Source organism: Homo sapiens, chromosome 3, assembly GCF_000001405.40.
Source record: "Homo sapiens chromosome 3, GRCh38.p14 Primary Assembly".
Lineage (NCBI taxonomy): Eukaryota > Metazoa > Chordata > Mammalia > Primates > Hominidae > Homo > Homo sapiens.
The window spans coordinates 190574390-190595802 of record NC_000003.12 but is presented as its reverse complement, the minus strand read 5'-3'; the positions used below and the strand labels follow the sequence as shown (position 1 = coordinate 190595802).

Sequence of the window (21413 nt, the reverse complement as noted above, 5' to 3'; positions counted from 1 at the left end):
TTATATTGTGCTACATTTTATATTAATTCTATTACTGTAAACAGGGCGGAGGGTGGAGGTGAGAGTCTTGAGATTTGGCTGAGACCAGAACCAGTCCCCTTTTACATTCCAAACTAGAAACCAATGCGGATCAGGCCACTTAGAAACTGTCCCATCTGCGTGTGCTAGTAGTCCTATCTAAGCCTGAGGCTAGAGACTAAGTCAAACAGGAACGCTGGTTTGACGTTAATTTTGGTAGTTTTGCTAAAGTTTGTTTTTCTAGTGGTATGCTTGGGTCCTCAGGAAATATTAACCTGGGACTGAGATAAAGAGAGAACTGAAGGTAAGAGCAAACTGGTTAAGTTGGCTAGCAACATTAAATGAATGTCACGAAGACAAGGAGGAAATCAATATGTTTAAGTGTGAGCACATTTCTGAGGCAAACACAGGAGTTCCAGAGTCTAAAACATTAGCAGAAGCCCTGATGGAGAAGGCGTATAGCATTAGGGTTGAAGATAACAGACATAATTCCAAGGCGGACTTTGATACCTAGTGGCATTATTCCTTCATTTAAAAAACTATGTACTGAGCATTCCGTCATGTGCCAAATACTAAATGGGTGCTTGGGATGCACTGGCAAACAAAACAAAGGTCTCACGGAGCTCACCTTCTAACACAAGGAGACTGACAATAAGCAATTGACATGCTAAATAAGAAAAATATATAGAATGTTGAAAGGTGATGAGTGAAGGGAACAAAGAACAATATAGAATCTGGTAAGAGGAATCAGGAATGAAGGAGGGAGAGAGAAGGGAGAGACAGGAATATGCAATTATAAAGAGAGTAGTAAGGGTAGGCTTTATGATCAATGAAGTCCCTCAACCATTTTGAACCTCAGTTTCCACAACCAAAAAAGAAGCTCATAATAGTGTAAAATAGTTATGAAAATGAAATAAGCCTATGACATAAAACAGCACCACACATAAACTGAGAATGTCCATACATGTACTGGTTATAATTAATCTATGAACTGTAATTTTTCTGTGATCTTTGGCAAACCACTTCTTGTGTCAGACATCCGCATCTGTGGCATGGACTGCTAGACATGCCCCATTTCCATGCCTCACACGCCCCTTCCCAATAGAGTGTGGGGACTTTCAGTTAGGCACATAGCCACTCAGTTTAAAAGTAACATTTCCCAGCTTGCCTCTCACCTGGATGTGGTCAGGTGACTAGGTTCTGGCTAATAGAAAAGGTTTGAAATTTGTCATATGGTAGATCCCAGAAATCTTCCTTGAGAGACACTGGCATGTTCCTATGGTTCCCATGCTCCTCCTACCATCCCATTTCTTCTGTCCTGCTGCGTGGGACATAGATAGATATGATAGCTGGCGCTACATAATGAACGGTAAGAATGAGGACCACACCCTAAAGATGGTGAAATCTGAAAGTGAAAGGAGGTGGGACCTTGAATAACTTGCGGAGTTGCCTTACCAGCCCTGAACTTTCCACCTCTACATTTTATGTGATAAATAAGCTTTTTATATCCTCATTACTTGGAGTCTGGTCCTCAACCCACCAGCATCATCAGTATTCCTTGCCACCTTGTCAGAACTGCAGATTTTCAGAACCCATCCTGATGTATTGAATCACGATCTGCATTTTAACAATCCCCAGGTAATCCCTATGCTCACTAAACTTGGAAAGGAATTAGTTTAAACAGCTGTTATTTTACATGTCTACTTATGGCTGATCATTGTCTTCACTGATAACAATGGTTTTATTTCCTCTGTTCAAATAAGTGGCTAGATGAACAATTCCTGAGATTTTAACCACCTTATGAGTCTATGTCTCTTTGACTTATATTCTTTTTGTTCCTCAATGACAAATTATTTTAAATATCTAGACATTTTTCTAGCAGTATCCTATAATATACCACTGGTTTCCAAAAATATCTGCAAACACCATTCACCTAGAGTATAATTTATATTATAGTGGAAGATATTTGATATGGTTTGACTGTGTCCCCACCCAAATCTCATCTTGAATTGTAGCTCCCATAATTCCCAAATGTCGTGGGAGGGACATGGTGGGAGGTAATTGAATCATGGGGGTGGGTCTTTCCTGTGCTGTTCTCATAATATGAATACGTCTCACGAGATCTGACGGTTTTATAAAGGAGAGTACCCCTGCACACAGTCTCTCTTGCCTGCTGACATGTAAGACGTGACTTTGCTCCTCATTTGCCTTCTGCCATGATTGTGAGGGCTCCCTAGCCATGTGGAACTGGAGTCAACTAAACCTCTTTCCTTTATAAATTGCCCAGTCTCAGTTATGTCTTTATTAGCAGTATGAGAGAAAACTAACACAATATTAAAACTTAGATATGTTTATTCAGGGTAGAGCTACCCAAACAAAGTCTAGAAAATGTTTCTGAAAATTCACATTCACTGACTAAGTCATCAAGAGGAGAGCAAGAAGTCAGGAGTGGAGGAGGGAGAGCTGGAGTGTCTGTGAGCATCCATCACGCATCCTCATGTTGCTGGCACTGCATACAAACCCGTGTTCATCACTGGGCAGATGGCTGCTTTCCAGGACCAGATAATTAGACATACCTTACTCCCACCAACAAAAGGAAGTTTTCTTGATTGAATAATTTGAAAAAAAAATGGAAAATAGCTCTGACAGATACAAGGGATGATAACATTTGTCAGATTAGGAAAGAATGCCAAATTCAAAAAAAAAAAGGGTTTGGTGAGGGAGAAATCCACAAGCCACGGTTTCAGTTTCATTAGAGTTTGCTCCTAGAATAATTTTTATTCCGAATAGTGTACTACTCCTGTTTATGGCACCAGGTATTTACACTGCCCTAAAGACTGTCATTTCATATCAATTTGAAGTGGCAGTTCCATCCAGTTAAAAAATAAAAAGTATGGACAAATCATTACAAAGTAAACCTGAACAAAGGAAAAAAGAAGAAAAGAAAGAGGTAAGAAAGGAAAGTGAACCCTGACGGATGAAAACAACCAATCCTACGAAGTTTAAATTCAGAATTATAATAGGCAATACTTAGAGTTATAAAATCAAATCTAAAAGAGCTGGGGTCTTTCAGAGTCTAGCATTATTAAAGGATGAATATTTTAGCACCTCCGAGCAGTTTGCAGTCAGTATCTGCCATGCTGGAGTTTCACTCTTAGTTTGTAAATACAAGCGTCACTTTCTACAAAGTTTTCCTTGTGGGAGAGCACCTGAATAAAAACCCTGGGTTTTCTAGATAATTTTAAAGCTTCCTGGTCTAACGAAGCTGCTGAAGGTCTCCAGGCTGTTTCCATATCTCAAATCATTTCATAACTGGGTTTTGGATTACCAGCAAAAAGACCCTGAATTATCATGTGTTTATGTCCCAGAAGGTTCCAGCAGCCACCCTTCCTGCTGTTGTGCAGAATAAGGAAGGTAATACAGTAACATCATCTAATAGCCACCTGTAACAAGCTCTGCTTCTCTCATCAAAGTGGCACCAGGGGATAGAAGCCCACATAATGAATTCTGGGCCAAGGCAGGACAGATCACCTGAGGTCGAGTTCGAGACCAGTCTGGCCAACATGGCGAAACCCTGTCTCTACTAAAAATAGAAACATTAGCTGGGTGTGGTGGCGCGTGCCTGTAATTCCAGCTACTTGGGAAGCTGAGGTAAGAGAATCACTTGACCCCGGGAGGCAGATGTTTCAGTGAGCCGAGATCGCACCACTGCACTCCAGCCTGGGAGACAGAGCGAGATTCCATCTCAAAACAAACAAACAAACCAAAAGAACGAATTCTGAGTATGCTTCTTCTGTACCATGGTTCATGGTTTTCTTTAAAAAAAATTACTGTAATGAGCAACCTCATGCTGCTGAAGGGAATGATTTTTTTTGCAGGGCTGTTGTGACAATAAATAAACAGGCTGTGTCAAGTGTGACACAGTACACTGGAGAAACGCTAAGCAGTCATTAGCTTGTTTTTGTGGGGGTTTTTTTCCCTCCAAGCTATCTTTTCTAATCCATGATTAAGATGTAAAAATTCAATGATTATTTTAATATAATAATCAAACAGCTTTTGCTCTCTTTATTCTTATTATTAGATAATATTTATTCAGGATCCTGTGAGTGCTAGGGGCTATGAAGAATATCTAGAAAATATACAGTCTCTGTGTTGAAATTTCCATTCAAGACTGACAGCGCATGAAATAAAGTTATTTCACATGTTATCATTAGAGTCCCAGAAAATACAGGCCTCAGGTCTAGTTGCAGCCCTGAATTCCAGTAAGATAGCTGAAAATACCCCCATTCCATACATGAAGTGAATGCAGTCGAGAGAGGACAAAAAACACGTCTGAGAGATGGGTAAACAATATATGATAGTGGTGGGGAGGGGCCAAACCAGGGCTCTAATGTCCCAAAACAACTGCTTTCCCTAGGGAGTATGCAATGGTAAGTCTCCAACAACCCCGTTCTAAACCTCGTTCTGCCACTTCCTATCCACGTGACTATGTGCAAATAAATTAAATATTCCCATGTGTAAACAAAAACTGGTTTGAAGATTAAATGAGGCAACACTGGTAATGTGTTTAGCGGAGAGCTGGTCACATAATCTTTGCTGTTGTTATGATTATATTTCTCTCTTTTTCACTTTCAAACTGAGTATAGCCCATTTCAAACTGAATTGTGCTCAACAAATGTTGTTGATGTTTAAGCTCTGGAGATTCACCTGTGACAAAGTGTCTGAGAGTGTTGGACGACAAGGGAGATTTTACAACATTTTAAAAAATTCTTCTCATTCTGCAAATGAGAAGATTTTACAAACTATACCCAGAAAGATAACTTGAGTAACACAAGAGTTTACTTGTAGCAAGTATAAAATCATTCCTCTCCAATCCAAATTCTGTGTTCTACTACATTGTCCCAGTGAAATATATATTCCAAATAAATATCTGCACAGACATTCCCACTTGGCACTTTGAATGTAAATAGTACAACAGTACACTCCTCTTCAAAACAGAGGATGAAGCAGGCTAAGAATCAAACCCAGGAAGACTGGAACAGACAACGTTAATACTGAGCCAAAAAAGATAACGCTGCATGTGTTCTATATGGTCAAGTCATAAAATTACTATTTTCACCCTTCCCATTTTACAAGTGAAAAAGCTGATATGTGGGTTTGTCCTTGAGGCTGAAAACAAGCTAAATGGCATCGCTGCCCATAAGTGTGGCACCTGGAAAGAAGAATCCTGGCCAGGCACGGTGGCTCACACCTTGTAATCCCAGCATTTTGGGAGGCCGAGGCGGGCAGATTGCCAGAGCTCAGGAGTTCGCGACCGGCTTGGGCAATATGGTGAAACCCCATCTCTACTAAAATACAAAAAATTAGCCGGGAATGTGGTGGGCACCTGTAGTCCCAGCTACTTGGGAGGGTGAGGCAGGAGAATTGCTTGAACCCGGGAGGTAGAGGTTGCAGTGAGCCAAGATGGTGCCACTGCGCTCCAGCCTGGGCAACAGAGCAAGACTCCGTCTCACCAAAAAAAAAAAAAGAAGAAGAAGAATCCTGTCCACAGTTGCCACATAGGTAACAGTACATGTCACAAATATATGTCACAAAATATGAAGTTAATCAGTGCCAATCCCATAGAGCTGTTGTTAGCGGTAAATAAGATGATACACGAAAATGCCACATGGACTCTGACACAGTAAGAACTTAATATGAATATGTTTTAGCTATCATGATGTGGATTATTACAGATGAGAAAATTGAGATCTGGAAAGAGAATCAGCAGAGAAAGGAATTATTATGTGTGTTTGATTTTGAGTTTTTATTGCCTTTTACCAGAGCCAAGGGCAGGAAACTCAAAGCTTGGATTTGAGTGGTAAAATGCAGAAGGCAGTCTGAGCATGAACTCTCTTCTTAATTACCAAGGATACGTCAGTGAACACCTTTCCACTCAACAGCATGATTGGAATTTAAAGCCCATCATGTATTTAATGGGTCTCTGTACCTTTCAACACCATGTCTTACACTTCCCAGTTGGGGGCTCAGAGAGACTCATTCCATAAAAGTACATCGGGGCCTTCAACTTTCAATTAGGAGCTTTCTAACTTCCCCGCCTCAAGATGTGCAGCCAATATTCCACGCAAAATTACAAAGTCAAAGGAAAGTGCATCTAGCAAACCTTGTCAGCAACCTCCCCAGCAATTCTCAGGAAACTGCCTGGAGTAAAAGAACATTTATGATCTTCATCACCTGCCAGAGGAAGAGACACAGGCGACAATCCTGCCACTGTGTTTAACAGAGGCATCACCTGCGAAACGCCGGTGCAGTCTCATTCTATCTTAATAATGTGTCAAGCGTGTAGATTTTTCTTGATGGCTGGTAGTGACAAGCAGAAAACAAAAGATTCTGAGAGAAAATTGGGTGAAGCAAGCAACAAAAGCTGAGAGCATGAGAAATGGGGTTTGGAGAAATGTCTGGCAGTGAATATGATGGGGTGACAGGAAGAATTCAAGAGGTGGGGGTGCTGAGTGGCTAGGTTTTTAGTGGTCACTCACCTAGAGAACAGTATCTCCTCCCAAGGAAAGAAGCAGGGTCTTGGGAAGAGTAAATGCTAAGATAAAATCCTGGTCTAAGTTTCTGAACACTGAAGTCCCCTATAATCCACCGTGCATCTTAGAAAACCACTGCATGTTAGAGCTGGAAGGTGGATTCAAAAATCATCCAGCCCCATGACACATTATACAGATCAGGCTCTGACACCAGAGGGGCTAGGGAATGCCTGAGGTGAAAGACTGGGTTAGTAGCAGAGGCAGGATAAAAGTCTCTCTGATAACCATATCATGAACATTACTTCTGCATATAAAACCAACTGCAAAAATAAGAGTTTATACTGGACTTATATCAATCTTTGTTTCTCTTTTCTCTTGGTATGTCAGGGGTTAAATTTTTATACGTACTTTTATGTTGAGCTTATTGACTTACTATAGTGCTAAGGTTGAGAACATTTGCCTCATACGTTTATTGGGAAAGAGAAAACTACAAACCAACTTCTCTAAAATCTAGAACAAAGGAAGCAAAACAAGAGAATGTACTTTTCATATGTGAAGAAAACAAACATTCTAGAAAAATCAAATTTAGAAAAATAGATGAAAGACCAGGAAAATAACTCACAGTCATTTGAAGAGGGCTTTTAGGAACTGCATGGTACAACTACAACTACACACACAAACATCTTGTGTGTGTGTGCATGTGTGTCCAGGTATATATTCCAGGACAACACTGTCAAGTCCAAGACACTCATCCCTGAGGACTTTTGGACTCCCAATGCTGCATGTGATTCCCTGCCTAGTGGAAAATGAATAATGAAGATGGTTGCTTAGAAAGATGTAGGCCGGGCATGGTGGCTCACGCCTGTAATCCCAGCACTTTGGGAGGCCCAGGCGGGCGGATCACGAGGTCAAGAGATCAAGACCAACCTGGCCAACATGGTGAAACTCCATCTCTACTAAAAATACAAAAATTAGCTGGGCGTGGTGGCGCATGCCTGTAGTCCCAGCTACTCAGGAGGCTGAGGCAGGAGAATCGCTTGAACCCAGGAGGCAGAGGTTGCAGTGAGCTGAGATTGCACCACTGCACTCCAGCCTGGCAACAGAGTGAGATGCCATCTCAAAAAAAGAAAGAAAGAAAAAAAGATGTAAGAGACCTTTTTATCTCCGTATGCTTTGAGGTAGGAAAATGTTTCAAATGCATCACTTAGAAATCATTGCCTTATTTCTTCCACCACATCCCACCAAAGACTGCAAATCCAACATTGTTGACATAATCCATAGTAATGTATAGTTTAGATGGAAGTTTTAGACATATTATATCCTTTGATCCCAGATATAGAGGATATTGCCCCATTTTGGGGTTTGAAAGAGAGGTTCAGAGAGTGAATTGGGAAGCTCACAGAGCTATTGGGCAGCAGTTTTTCTGATTCCAGAGTCAGTCCTCTATCCACTGACCTCAGGTTCTCAGGTCTTACTCAGCCCCTTGGTTTTTATTTTGGAGATTTTACATATAATTTCTTCCCTCAAACACTCCGCCCAATTTGATTCTTCATGTTGACAAACATCTCAAACCATGTTTTCTTTTCCTTCTGTGCTACAGCAAACTCGCTACTGATCCTTTCTTTGAATATAGGAATTCATCTTCAGACAGATCACTTTAAACTTCCTCATAGCTAAATATAGTTCCTGAGATACATCTTGTAGTATACCCTATGGAGAACAAAGACATAGGGTCAGAAGACCTGGTTTCTTGTCCTAATTCTGCCAGTGTGACCACCATTATAAAACTGCCACCACCATAGGAACTACCAGTACCATTCACTTAATTGTGAGTGTTTTCTATACGCCAGGTATTAAGTGTTTTACATTTATTATCATTTTCACTCTTCATAATGCCTCTTTCAGATAGCTTTATTATGGCCCTCATTTAACAAATGACGAGCATGAAGCATAGATAAGTTAAAAGATACCCACACAATTACACAGCAAGTCAGTAGGAGACGGGGATTCTAACGCAGATCTGTCACTCTCTAGAGTCTGAAATTTAATGCTGACTGTGACCAAGTCACTTTCCTGCTTTGGGATTCAGTTTTATCACGTATAAGAAGGTAAAACCAGATGATCTGTAACCCTGTCCATCTCTATAATATGATGGGTTTATAATCCATGCTAACTTCAAGAGTATTTTCTAGCCTGACTCTGAAAAATATAAATCAAGCCAGTTTTTCAGAGAAAAGAACGGAAGTGGGTGGGCACTCATTAATAGAAAGTAGAACAAAGTGAGTAAGCAAGTGAGACTCTTTCATGAAAAACATGACATCCTTGATTAGCACCTCCCAGCATCGGAAGGCACATATCACAGCCAAGAGGCAGCGGGGTAGATCACATCTGTCTAAATTAGAGAGTGTCACTATATAGTCCTGTTTCCAGTGGAGACTCCGAAGCTACCTTCATGCTTAACTTTCCCTCACAACACCCACTTTTAAAAAGCAGAGGAGTCAGAAATGTCAAGCTGTCCTCGAAGGCAGCTCCCTGGGGCATTAGCTGCCTCTGTCTTATTAAGTATAGTCAGGCATGACTCAGCTCCTCCATCAACTGTCTGGGAAGGAGAACATTTCATGCTGGTAGAAAATCACCTTAAGCAGAACAATGGAAGGCATTTAAGGTAGACAATTAGAGTCAGGTTGCTTATTGCTCAAAATCAAATCACCCTTTTCCTATTCTAGATAGGAGGGCATAATCACGGCCAATAGGGAAACAGGGCTGTCTTTGCTTAGAACACATCAGAGCCCCCTGTCACCTCCAGTTACAACTATCAGCCACTGAGACACCTCTTCTGTCTGGGTCACAAAGCAAGGTGAACTGTGGCTTATGGCATGTCCTTCAATCAATAAACCCTCAGTGAAAACTTACCACATGCAACAGTTTATGTTAGGCTCCAACGAGGGATAAAGATACAAGGAAGATATAGACTGTGCTCTCAAAGATCTCACTGTCAAGACTGGGTGGAGAGTCAGGCAAACAACCACAACACAAAGCAAAATGAAGCAAATGCTAAAAGGAAAAAATAAAGATGCAACGTGTCATAGGAGGGCAGAAGGCACTTTTAATTCGGACTTCAAGATGGGTGACACTCATCGGTGCCTTCACAGAAGAGATGGCATCTGATTTAAGTCTGGAAAAAATGCATAGAATGTGCACTGACTCCTCCTCCAAGGGGAGGAGTCCAGGCTGATGTGAGCCATGATGAGTTAGTCCATGAGTCAGCCGGGGTTAGATCACAGGGTGTGGGATGATTTCACAAAGCATGAGAATGGTAAAGGGTCAATGAGACTAGGGTCAATCAGGGTAAGAACAAACTTTATCCTTGTAGCAACTGAGAGTCACTAATGGTACTTAATGAATAAAGTGACTTTTTTTTCTTTTTTTCTTTTTTTTTGGAGTTGGAGTCTCACTCTGTCACCCAGGCTGGAGTGCAGTGATGCAATCTTGGCTCACTGCAACCTCAGCCTCCCGGGTTCAAGCAATTCTCCTACCTCACCCTCCCAAGTAGCTGGGACTGCAGGCACACACCACCATGCCCGGCTAATTTTTTGTATTTTAGTAGAGACAGGGTTTCACCCTGTTGCCCAGGCTGGTCTCAAACTCCTGAGGTCAGGCAATCCACCCGCCTCGGCCTCCCAAAGTGTTAGGATTGCAGGCGTGAGCCACCATGCCCAGCCTAAAGTGACACATGTTAATGATTAGTATGAGCAGAAGCAAAAGATAGGCTGGGCAGTATACTTGTGCCCTGAAGCTGTCTGATGGGTCACACACACATGCAACTCCACATGTGTCAAGCATGGAATTTCTTTACCCATTTGTTATTAAACGAAGTCAAATGGGACAATTACAGCAAACGGGCTGAGGGGGTGGGGAGATGCAGTGAGGCTAATGGCTTCTGATGTGGTCCTTTTGCTTGACAATGGTTAGAGTGGGCACTGTGACTGATCAAGTTGAGAAAGACTGCATTGCCTGGCACGGCCCCTTTTTCATCCCCTAATGCCCATCATCATCAAAGATAATACATGAGGCTGTAAAGAGGGAAGCCACTTTGTTACAGTTTGTAGGATGTAATCATCCACAGTCTTTATTGTTTCTCTCTTCGGGGCCTCAAAGTATTTTAGTAACCAGAAACCTCAATGAGTGACAACACTCTGCAGTATAGCACACCATCTATACATCCCTATGGCACTCGGGACATTATTTCGTGGGTTATAAATATTTGGATACCTGAATTCTCTTTCCAGCTACTCAAAAGCTCCTTGTTAACAGGGCAATGGTCATTTTCATCTTCCTAGATCCCCACTGTGTCTGAAAAAACCTAGAAGTTCTATAAACATACTGAGTAGACCTAAGAGACTATAGGAGATCCAGTGATGGGCCTGGGAGCAAGATTTTTAAAATAACAAGAAAATTAAAGGTTAGCAAAGACAAGCCACAAATCAGCTATTCAATGAAGAACTCATTTTCAGAATATATAGAGAACTCTCAAAAGTCAAAGAAAAATATCAGGAACTTAATTAAAAAGGGACAAAATATTTTAACAGACACTTCACCAAAGGAGATATACATATGACAAAATGGTCCAAATTATTAGTCATTATATAAATGTAAATTAAAAATCACACAAGATACTACTGTAAAACTATTAGAATGGTTAGCATTTTAAAAAATGGAAAATAGCAAGTGTTCATGAAATGTGCAGCAGCTGGACTCTCATTCATTGAAGACGGGAATACAGAATTGAGTATAGCTACTTTGGAAAAGAGTTTGGCAGCCTCTTATTAGGTTAAACATACCTAATGACCTTACCATATGACCTAGCAATATCAGTCCTAGGTAACAAAAACTTGTGTTGAGACAAAGCCTGTATATAGACGTTTACAGCAGCCTTAATCATAATAGCCAAAAACTTGAAGCAATCACATATCCTACAACTAATGAATGAATAAACAACAGTGGTATATCCATACAATGGAATGTTACTTGGTAACAAGGAATGGACTTCTCAAACATATGATAATATGGATGTACCTCAAATGTGTTATGCTAAGTGAAGGAAGCCAGACCAGTACAATTCTATCTATCTGATATTCTGGAAAAGGCAGAATTATAGGAGCAGAAAACGATCAGTGGTTGCTAGTGACTGGGTGTGGGGGGACGGCACAGTGGCAGCATGAGAGAAATTTGGGAGGATAATGGGACTTTCTGTACCTAAACTGTGGTGGTTTTTACATGGTTGTATGCATTTGTCAAAATTCACAGACTTCTTACACCAAAAAACTCAATTTGACCATATGTAAATAAGAGTGAATAAAAATAAAAATAAATTTTAAAAGGTTAAGTTCCTGCCTCTTGTTTAGAGACTTGGCTTTACTTGTAACAACCGGGCAGAGGCAATTATTTAATCATAGCTCCATTCTTCATTGCCATTTCTCACCTATCTCCAAGTAGTCACATCACACAAATTTTTTAAGGCCTAAATTGAACACTACACCTCTGGATATATAGATGGCTGCTCTCAGTTTGAAGCAATTTCTCTCAGTTTGAAACCACCATAGCTGTTTCTCTGAACCTCTCTTATGATACTAACCACTTCGTACCTTGCGTAACTGTTATTTGAGGCTAATTTGCTGCTAGATTGTGAGCTCAAAGAGAGAGCTTTAGTCCTGCTCATCCAGCTTAGTGCCCAGCACACAGAGTTTGGTGGATATTTGTTTCTAATGGGGTGGCATGAGTATTGTTTGCACTCACAGTAAAAACAGAGATCAGTAACTACATAGAAAGAAACGTCTATGCTTCTTCAGAACTCTCTGGCATATATACCTTGTTATCTCATACAAAATAATCTCATAGCTGATTTAAAGAATTAAGTGTTACCTATTTATTATATCCTTTCATTCATTCGCTGAGTATTTACTGAGCACCTACTAACTGCAAAGGCTTTGCTACACATAAAACATACAGAGGCAAATAAATCTGCCTGTTGTCATGGAGCTTTCATTCTAGAGAAGGTCACAGACATTAATTAAGTAGTTAAATAAATAATTACCCAATTAACAACAATTGCTATTGGAGTGATTATCATGAAAAAGACGTACAGCGTATAAAGTGGATATATTAACAGGGATCTTACTTAGCCTGAGAGGTCGCTGATTAGGGCAGGAGATGGGATGTTCCCTGAGAAATGGACTTTTGAGCTGAGTGAAATAGAATGAAGATGTGAGGGACAAAGTTGAGAGGAGAGTGTGTGAAGGAAGAACTTAGGTGAGAAAGGGAATAGTACATGTGAAGTTCCTGAAGAATCTCAGAAAACTTCACTGCCAGGGGCAAGGAAAACAGTGGAATATGAAGAAGCTGAAGCAACAGGTAGGAATTTGAACATATAAGAGCATATAGGCCGCTGTAAGGAACTTAAATTTAATTCTAAGAATAATGGGACATATTCCAGGGTTTTCCACAGAGGAGACACCTGATTTAATTTACAATTTGAAATAGGTAACACTGGTTACTGTGTGAAGAATGGACTGTAGAGAGTAAAAGTGAAGGAGAAACAGCTAATTATGAGGCTACTGCAGAAAAATTTAAGAATGTGCCAGGCAGGGTGGCTCAGCCTATAATCCCAGCACTTTGGGAGGCCGAGGCGGGTGGATCACCTGAGGTCAGGAGTTTGAGACCAGCCTGACCAACATGGTGAAACCTTATCTCTACTAAAAATACAAAATTAGCCTGGGTGGTGGCGCACGCGTGTAATCCCAGCCATGTGTGAGGCTGAGGCAGGAGACTTACTTGATCCCGGGAGGTGGAGGTTGCAGTGAGCCGAGATCGTGCCACTGAACTCCAGCCTGGGCAAAAACAGTGAAACTCCATCTCAAATGAAAAAAAAAAAAAAGAAAAGAAAAGTTCAAGAATGAGATGATGTGGCTTGGACTAGGATAATACTTAAGATGGAGAGGAGCAGATAAGAGCCACATGGAAAATGAGCAAAGATGGATTGATCAAAAATGTAAAGAAATAGAAAGGAAACTTGTTTCAGAGGCTCTTAAATCTCAAACTACAGAATGCTAGCTTGTTAGAGTCAAGAACTAAGCAAATTAACAGATGTGGAAACAGATTCTGAGAGGTTAAGTAGCTTGCCCAAATCACCCAGTAAATTAGCAACAGAACTGAACTGCAGCCTCAACATCTTTTATCCTCCTTATGTTATTCCTCATTTTTATTTTTTTTAGAACCTAACTTTGACCTCCACTTTGCTTTTCATTTTTAAAACACAGTATTGGTGCCATCTGTGAGTCACGGTGAATAGCAGGGACCCTGAAACAGTTAGACATATGAGACACAAACGAGCATGAAGAAAGGAACAGGGACTATTTGTTCTTCACCATATCCTAATGCCTATCAAATACCTGGCTCATGGAAATACCTCAAACAATGGCTGTTGAATGAATAAAGTTTCTTTTCCCATATTCTTTGGCAAATATATTGAAAAATACAATAGAAAAATAATACAAGTTTCAACTGATTTAGAGTCGTCAAAACCAGGGAAGGTGGCAGAGAATCATAGGACCATAAACTGGTTGTCAAGCAACTGATTTTGAAAAATATGCTACTATCTGCTTTTGAATTCTTAAACAATTGACACAAAACTCAACATCTGGATTTTGTGAAAACTCTGCTGGGCAAGGGTTTGCTCACATTTGGAAATACGGATTCTTGTCGGCAAGCACCCAGCTTCGAATGTAAAAGGTCTCAGTCCTAATCTCATAATACAGAGCACCAACTGGTGCTTACCTACCTGCCAAGTGTGTGGTTTCTAGGCTCATTTGACTGAGCTTCTGCTTCCTGATTTGCTTTTACTGGTTACAGAAAACTTTAGATTCATTCTCTCACTGGATCTCCAAAACAGCTCTGTGGGGTATGCAGGGCTGATACTATCAGCTTCATTTTATAGATAAGGACACTGAGAGTCATACGGAAACCAGGATTTGACTTGAGTCCAGGTTTTTCTTCTCTGCCTTATACACTGTGAATTACCCAGGGCATGTTCTGATCCAGAACACTTTCTGAGCTCCCATAGCACTGAGATTTATATTTGTTACACTAACAAAAAAGGAAACACTCGAATGCCACTTTACTGAATCAGAGATTAAAGGGCTGAGTCCTCTGAAGACCTCTGAATTCACAATGACCTCTTCTGCTGTTTCTTTTTTAAAAACCACTTTACTGAGGTATGATTGACATACAGAAAGCTGTATATATTTGATGTGCCTAAAGTGAGGAGTTTGGAGATATATACACGGGCAAGAAACCATCATCACAATCTATGCCATAAACATACACATAACCTCTAAAAGTTTCCTCCTGCCCTATTTATGTATTCATTTATGTATTAATTATTTTAGTGATAAGAACACTTTATGTAACATTTAATTTCCTAGCGAGTTCTTAAGTATACAATACAGAATTGTTAACCATAGGCACTAAGCTGTAGAGTAGATTTCTAGGACTTACCTTGCGTAACTGAAACTTTGCACCCTTTGATTAACACCTCTCCATTTCTCCCCCTTCTCAGCCTCTGGCAACCACCATTCTACTCCCAGCTTCTATGAGTTTGACTATTTTAGATTCCTCATGTAAATAGCATCATGTAGTGTCTGTCCTTCTGTGCCTGGCTTATTTAACTTAGCATAATGTCCTCCAGGTCTATGCATATGGCAGGATTTCCTCCTTTCTTAGGGCTGACTGACACTCAATTGTATGATATAATGCATTCTCTTTATCCATTCTGGAAAAACACTATGGAAGTTTTGCCAAATAATTAAAAATGAGAGTAGCATTTCATCCAGCAGTCCCACTTCTTGGTAGATATTCATTGGAGTTGAAATCAGTTGAGCATAAGAGTTGAACACGAGATACACAAGAGCTGAAATCAGTTGAACATGAGATACTCACAGGAGATGTTCTCAGTTGAATATGAGAGTGCAAATACCTCAAATAGGTATATACTTCAAAATACTTCAAAAAGACATTTACAATGGCACAGTTACGTTGGAACGTAGTTGGCAGTTCTTCAAAATGTTAAGCATAGAGTTACCTTGATCCAGTAATTCAACTTACAGCTATATACCCAAGAAAAATGAAAACATATGTCCACACAAAAACTTGTACACATATGTTCATAGTAGCATTATTCATGATAGTCAAAATTTGGAAATCACACACAGGTGCATCAGGGATGAAGAATATTTCTCAATTATGATTCAATGATGAATATTATTCATCACTAAAAAATGATGTAGTGATACATGCTATATCATAGCTGTACCTTGAAAACATTGCATTAAGTGAAAACTAAATCAATCACAATATGCCACATATAATATCATCCCACTTGTATGAAATATCCGGAATAGGCAAATCTATAGAGACAGGAAGTAGACTACTGGTTGCCTAGGGCTTGGGTGGGGGAGAATGGGTTGTGGATTGGCTGCTAATCCTCAGGGCTTCGTTTTGGGGTGATGAAATGTTCTAAAATTAGATTGTTGTGATGGCAGCACGACTAATGTGTCTGGTTTTATTGCTTGCAATAAAAGGAATCTTTAGAAAAAATATAAAATAAAAGATGTCCTCAGTAATAAAAAGGTAGGAATCCCTTGGGTCTGCCAGGAAAAAGAATAATGGGCTTGGGAACAGAGGACAAAACCTTGAGTCCTGGTTCTACTTCCTATATGCAAAACTACGTCTAAACCACCTAATCTCTCCGGGCCTCTATTTCCTTATTTGTGAAGTGACAATAATAATATATTTTACAATGCTATTCTAAGATCAAATAATATAACCATTTTAATACTGTAAATACTGTATGATATCATTCATCCCTGTAATGGTTAGTGAATATAATGATAATGTGAACTGTATCTAGCACACAGTGTAAGCCCAATACAACATATGTTTATTGCATAGAGAAATGAAGAAAGGCTGATGGTTGAAGGAAGAAGTATTAATTTAACACATGCATAACCATGCCTACAGATACGGAAATGTTGATAACTAGCTTACTATGTTCTGTAGTACTGAGCTTTTAAAAACAAAACCAAAAACAAACAAAACAGAAAGCTGCCTGTAACAAAGAGATATGTTTAAATGAGTAGATAAAGTTGGTAAGAATCAGGGTGTATAGATAGGTTTAGGGCTAAGTATCTGATATGGTTTGGCTGTGTCCCCACCCAAATATCATCTTGAATTGTAGCTCCCATACTCCCCACATACCATGGGAGGGACCTAGTGTGAGGTAATTGAATCACAGGTGCGGGTTTTTCCCATGCTGTTGTCATGATAGTCTCATGAGATCTGATGGTTTTATAAAGGGCAGTTCCCCTGCACACGCTCTCTGGCCTGCTGCCATGTAGGACATGCCTTTGCTCCTCCTTTTCTACCTTCCTCCATGATTTTGAGGCCTCCCCAACCATGTGGAGCTGTGAGTTCATTAAACCTCTCTTGCTTTATAAATGACCCAGTCTTGGGTATGTCTTTATTAGCAACTTGGGAACAGACTAATACAGTATCCAATATTAGTAGACTGATGGAGGAAAGTGGGGAGTTGCTAATTTCAAATTCCAAGTATTTGGGTAGCTAATGCTTATTTTCTTGACACAACATGCTAACAAATACACAAACACAAGCCATGGTTATAATGCAGGAAAATCTATGGTAATATCTATTTTCCATTACAAAGTTTCTAATTTAGTATTCTACTGAGGTCATTTCATGAATATTGAAGTTACCTCTGTGCTAGAGAAGTTATTAACATACCAATTTACAGACAGAAACAAAGAGCCAAGGCTTAAACTATCATACCTGTCACAATTGCCTCTTGCTTGCCATCCCGAGGAATACAACAGCTCAGATCTATATACTTTCTTACTTCTAAAAATTAAGTTACCCTTTACTTCCAATTATAAATTTAATTAGATTGAAATACAGTCAGACAATAAGTAATTTCATTTTTGAATTATTTTTCATTTCAACTTTCATTTTAGATATGGGGGTACATACGCAGGTTAGTAACATGGGAATATTGCATAATGCTGAAGTTTGGGGTATAGATACCCGATAGGTAGTTTTTCAACCTGTGTCCTCCTCCCACCTCCCTCTGGTAGTTCTCTGCAGAGTCTATTGTTCCCATGTTTATGCCCATGTGTGCCCAATGCTTAGCTCCCTTTGCAGAAACACCGATGCAGTTGGAGGCCATAATCCTAAATGAATTAATGTAGTAACAGAAAATAAAGTTATTTTAAAAGGGGCAGAAATAAACCCAAACATAATTCCACTTTTCAAAGATAATCACTGTTAAGGGTTGGGTGTAGGCTGGACATGGTGGCTCACACCTGTAATCCCAGTACTTTGGTAGGCCAACACAAGAAGATCACTCAGGAGGATCTCCTGAGGCCAGGAATTCAAGACCAACCTGGGCAACATAGCGAGACCCCATCTCCACAAAAAAATTAAAAAATTAGCTGAGCCTGGTGGCATGCCCCTATAGTCCCAGCTACTTGGAAGGCTGAGGCAAGAGAACCTCTTGAGCACAGGAATTTGAGGCTGCAGTGAGCACTCTAGCCTAGGTAACAGAGCAAGATCCTGCAGGGGGGAAAGAAAAGGCATGTATCTTCTGCCAGAAAGGTTTTCCACATGCTTACACATGCATGACCAGAGTGGCGTGCTGGTAAACAGCCGGGGGTTGATGATGACAAAGCTAATTTCTAGCATCGGTTTACCAATTTTCATGTGGTAAAAACTCTTACCAAAGCCAACTTCAAATGACTAATTTGACAAATGACTCAAAAGCTTCCTAAAAATTGAATAGTTGGTTCTTACAAGCCCATACCACCTAGCTCCGGCAAACAACTGCCACAGTTGGTAAAGGTTTCACACTAGTTCTGCTATATGGTATTTGTTTTTATACAGAAACATCTACCATAAATGAATCCATCATATTCCATTGTATTGATATACACATATATATATAGATTTAAGCTCCCTTTATCATGAATATTTATATTGTTTCCAATGTTACTTATTGTAACAATCCTTTTTTTTTTTTTTTTTTTTTGAGACGGAGTCTCGCTCTGTCGCCCAGGCGGGAGTGCGGTGGCGCGATCTCGGCTCCCTGCAAGCTCCGCCTCCCGGGTTCACGCCATTCTCCTGCCTCAGCCTCCCGAGTAGCTGGGACTACAGGCGCCCGCCACCGCGCCCGGCTAATTTTTTGTATTTTTAGTAGAGACGGGGTTTCACCGTGCTCTCGATCTCCTGACCTCGTGATCCGCCCACCTCAGCCTCCCAAAGTGCTGGGATTACAGGCGTGAGCCACCGCGCCCGGCCATTGTAACAATCCTATGAAAAATATAGTTTTTGAGCATGTCTTGATGCATTTCTCCGAGTATTTTCTTAGAATATAGCATGTATGGTTCATTACAAGATTAAAGGGAGGCATTTTGGTGGTATCTTTGAAACAAATAGCCCAGGTCCCCTCCACAAAGCCTATTCCAGGTGAGCTCTCAACCACTGTGTGTGAGAGACCAGCATACCTGGTTATTAGATCACCATATCCTGACCAATGCTAGGCTGGATTGTTCTTTAATCTCTGCCAGACTGATGAGTGAAAAAAAATGGCATCGCATGTTGGTTTAGTTTGAATCTATTTTGTCACTCGTTAACTTGAGCTTCTTTTTAGACTGATCAATTTGTGTTGATCTGTTTTTGACTGCCTGAACTGCTAGTTTCAAATCTTTGCCAATTTTTCCATTAAAATGTGCGTGTGTGTGTGTGTATATATATATAATAGCTCCTTGCATTCTGATGACATTAACCCTTTGCCATATGTTTTCCCAATTTTTCATTTGTCCTTTAACTTACAATATTCTGTGCTATACTAATTTTTAAAATCTTTATGTAGTCAATTATGTCAGACTTTCTTTGCTGACCCTTACCTTTGATGACATATCTACAAATGTATCCATCCCAACATTATAATAAATATTTGCATGTATTTTTTCTACTACTCTTAGGGTTTTTTACATTTAAATATTTAATTCAACTGCGATTTGTTTTGAGGTAAAGTACAAGGTAGGAATTTAACTATTTTTTTTTTCTAAAAATTATCCAAATGTCCTCGCATTTAAATATATCTCCTTCCTCTGACTCTGGATGTTACCCTGGGTAGCCGCCAGCTGCAGAGCTGGCTTCCTTTCTTTTCTGGATTCCTGTTTTCACTTCAATTTTGGCCTCTAAGGATTTCTTACCAACTCAGCAATTCATTTTAAATGACATTTATTTTTAAATGCAGCATTTCTAGCTGCTTTACAGCAAAAGGGGTGTTTAGAGGACCTTGTCCGCCATACTGGGAAAAACAGAAATCTTTTCCAATCTTATTCCTACATAGCAGCTCACAAGATCATTTAATACCTTAGCTGGATAATGTAACAGTCCTGCCCAAATCCTTTCAATGGCCTTTTACTGCAGTTCAAGTAAATGTAACAACACCCTCAGTATGTGCTGCACTCTGACCACGGCTTCCTCTTCGTCGCATGTTTCTTTCCCCATAGTTCTCAAAGCTCCTGCAACCCAAGGCCTACATCTCATGCCACTGCCTTTGAAGGTGGCTCTTTCTCATCCCTCAATTCTCAATTAAATAGCATATTCTTTAATAGATTTTCCTTAACTATGGGATAAGGAAAGGAATATCCCATTACTTTCCATCAATATAATGCCTTATTTATAACTATAGAGAACTTCTTATAAAAATTTGTTTACTTACGTTCTTCAAGTAAGAAAAGACTTGAAGCCATCCCCAAGACTGTGAATTTCATGAGGGCAAAGATAATTTTTGTTTTGGTTACCAATACAGGCAAGCACAGTGTCCAGCACATACACACTACAGATGAATGAATGAATGAATACACGCACAATGTCTTCATCTTTGCCTACCCTACGTACAAAGGTCTGCACATAACAGGTGCCCAGGAGACATATGCTGAACTGGGTTTCACATCTAATCATGAAGGACCAACCTCCCTAAATGTGGAGGTTATATAGATCTTTGACCAGTTTCTATTAAATCACAAAGGTACATATTTAAAATAGGAGGGCAATACTTATCATCCTTTTATGACAAAAATATTCCATGTTTTGAAATGAATAATCAGTCTGTTAAAAAAAAACTCATTTCCCTAGGACTGAAGAGGCTTTGTGTATTAAATCTGCTGGGATTTCAATTCTGGAGAGTTTGCAGTAAGTGGAATAGCTTACCTGTGTATGAATATGGATTGGTTAAAATGCCCCCAGCCCATACTTTTGTGTACTTGCTGAGCCCAAGTGACAGTTATTCTAGCTGTTTTGTTGCCATACACACAAAAAGTGATCGTTTCCGAGAAAGATAAAACATTCCAGCTCCACCAGAAATAAAATAGAACTTGGAGTGAGACCACAATCAAATTTCACAATTCACATTCAATCACTGCCAAAGACTAGCAGAAAAGAACTGGCATTTGTAAACTGAAAAGAACTTTCTAGAACTCTACACTGCTGGGTACCCAAAAAAATCTCTGAGGCACATGTAAACATCCTTGACTGAGTCCCTTAACACCTAAGTGGAGGGACAGAGCCTGCAGTCAGTCATTGGAAAAGGAGCAAAAGCTAGGGAGTTAGAGTTAGTATCTCTGAGTTAGCCACAGGGGAAGCCATATGAATAATGCCAAAGCAACCTTGCAGAATACTAAAGTTAACAGCTTCCCACTGCACTCAAACCCACTGCACCTGTACCAA

General features: G+C 40.0%; 1 protein-coding gene across 17 annotated transcripts in view, besides 2 other annotated features; it reads right to left on the bottom strand.

Annotated features, from left to right (window-relative positions):
- The window catches only part of IL1RAP (interleukin 1 receptor accessory protein), a 145666-nt gene that overhangs the window by 63948 nt on the left and 60305 nt on the right, over positions 1–21413 (bottom strand). The gene's annotated exons all lie outside the window — the stretch shown is intronic.
- Positions 9796–10329: an enhancer, noted in NCBI's record as "NANOG-H3K27ac-H3K4me1 hESC enhancer chr3:190303263-190303796 (GRCh37/hg19 assembly coordinates)". NCBI's record gives its function as "activates a minimal SCP1, AML or CMV promoter by ChIP-STARR-seq in naive H9 embryonic stem cells {active_cell/tissue: H9 hESC(naive)}" and the evidence as "EXISTENCE:reporter gene assay evidence [ECO:0000049][PMID:30033119]".
- Positions 10330–10863: an enhancer, noted in NCBI's record as "NANOG-H3K27ac-H3K4me1 hESC enhancer chr3:190302729-190303262 (GRCh37/hg19 assembly coordinates)". NCBI's record gives its function as "activates a minimal SCP1, AML or CMV promoter by ChIP-STARR-seq in naive H9 embryonic stem cells {active_cell/tissue: H9 hESC(naive)}" and the evidence as "EXISTENCE:reporter gene assay evidence [ECO:0000049][PMID:30033119]".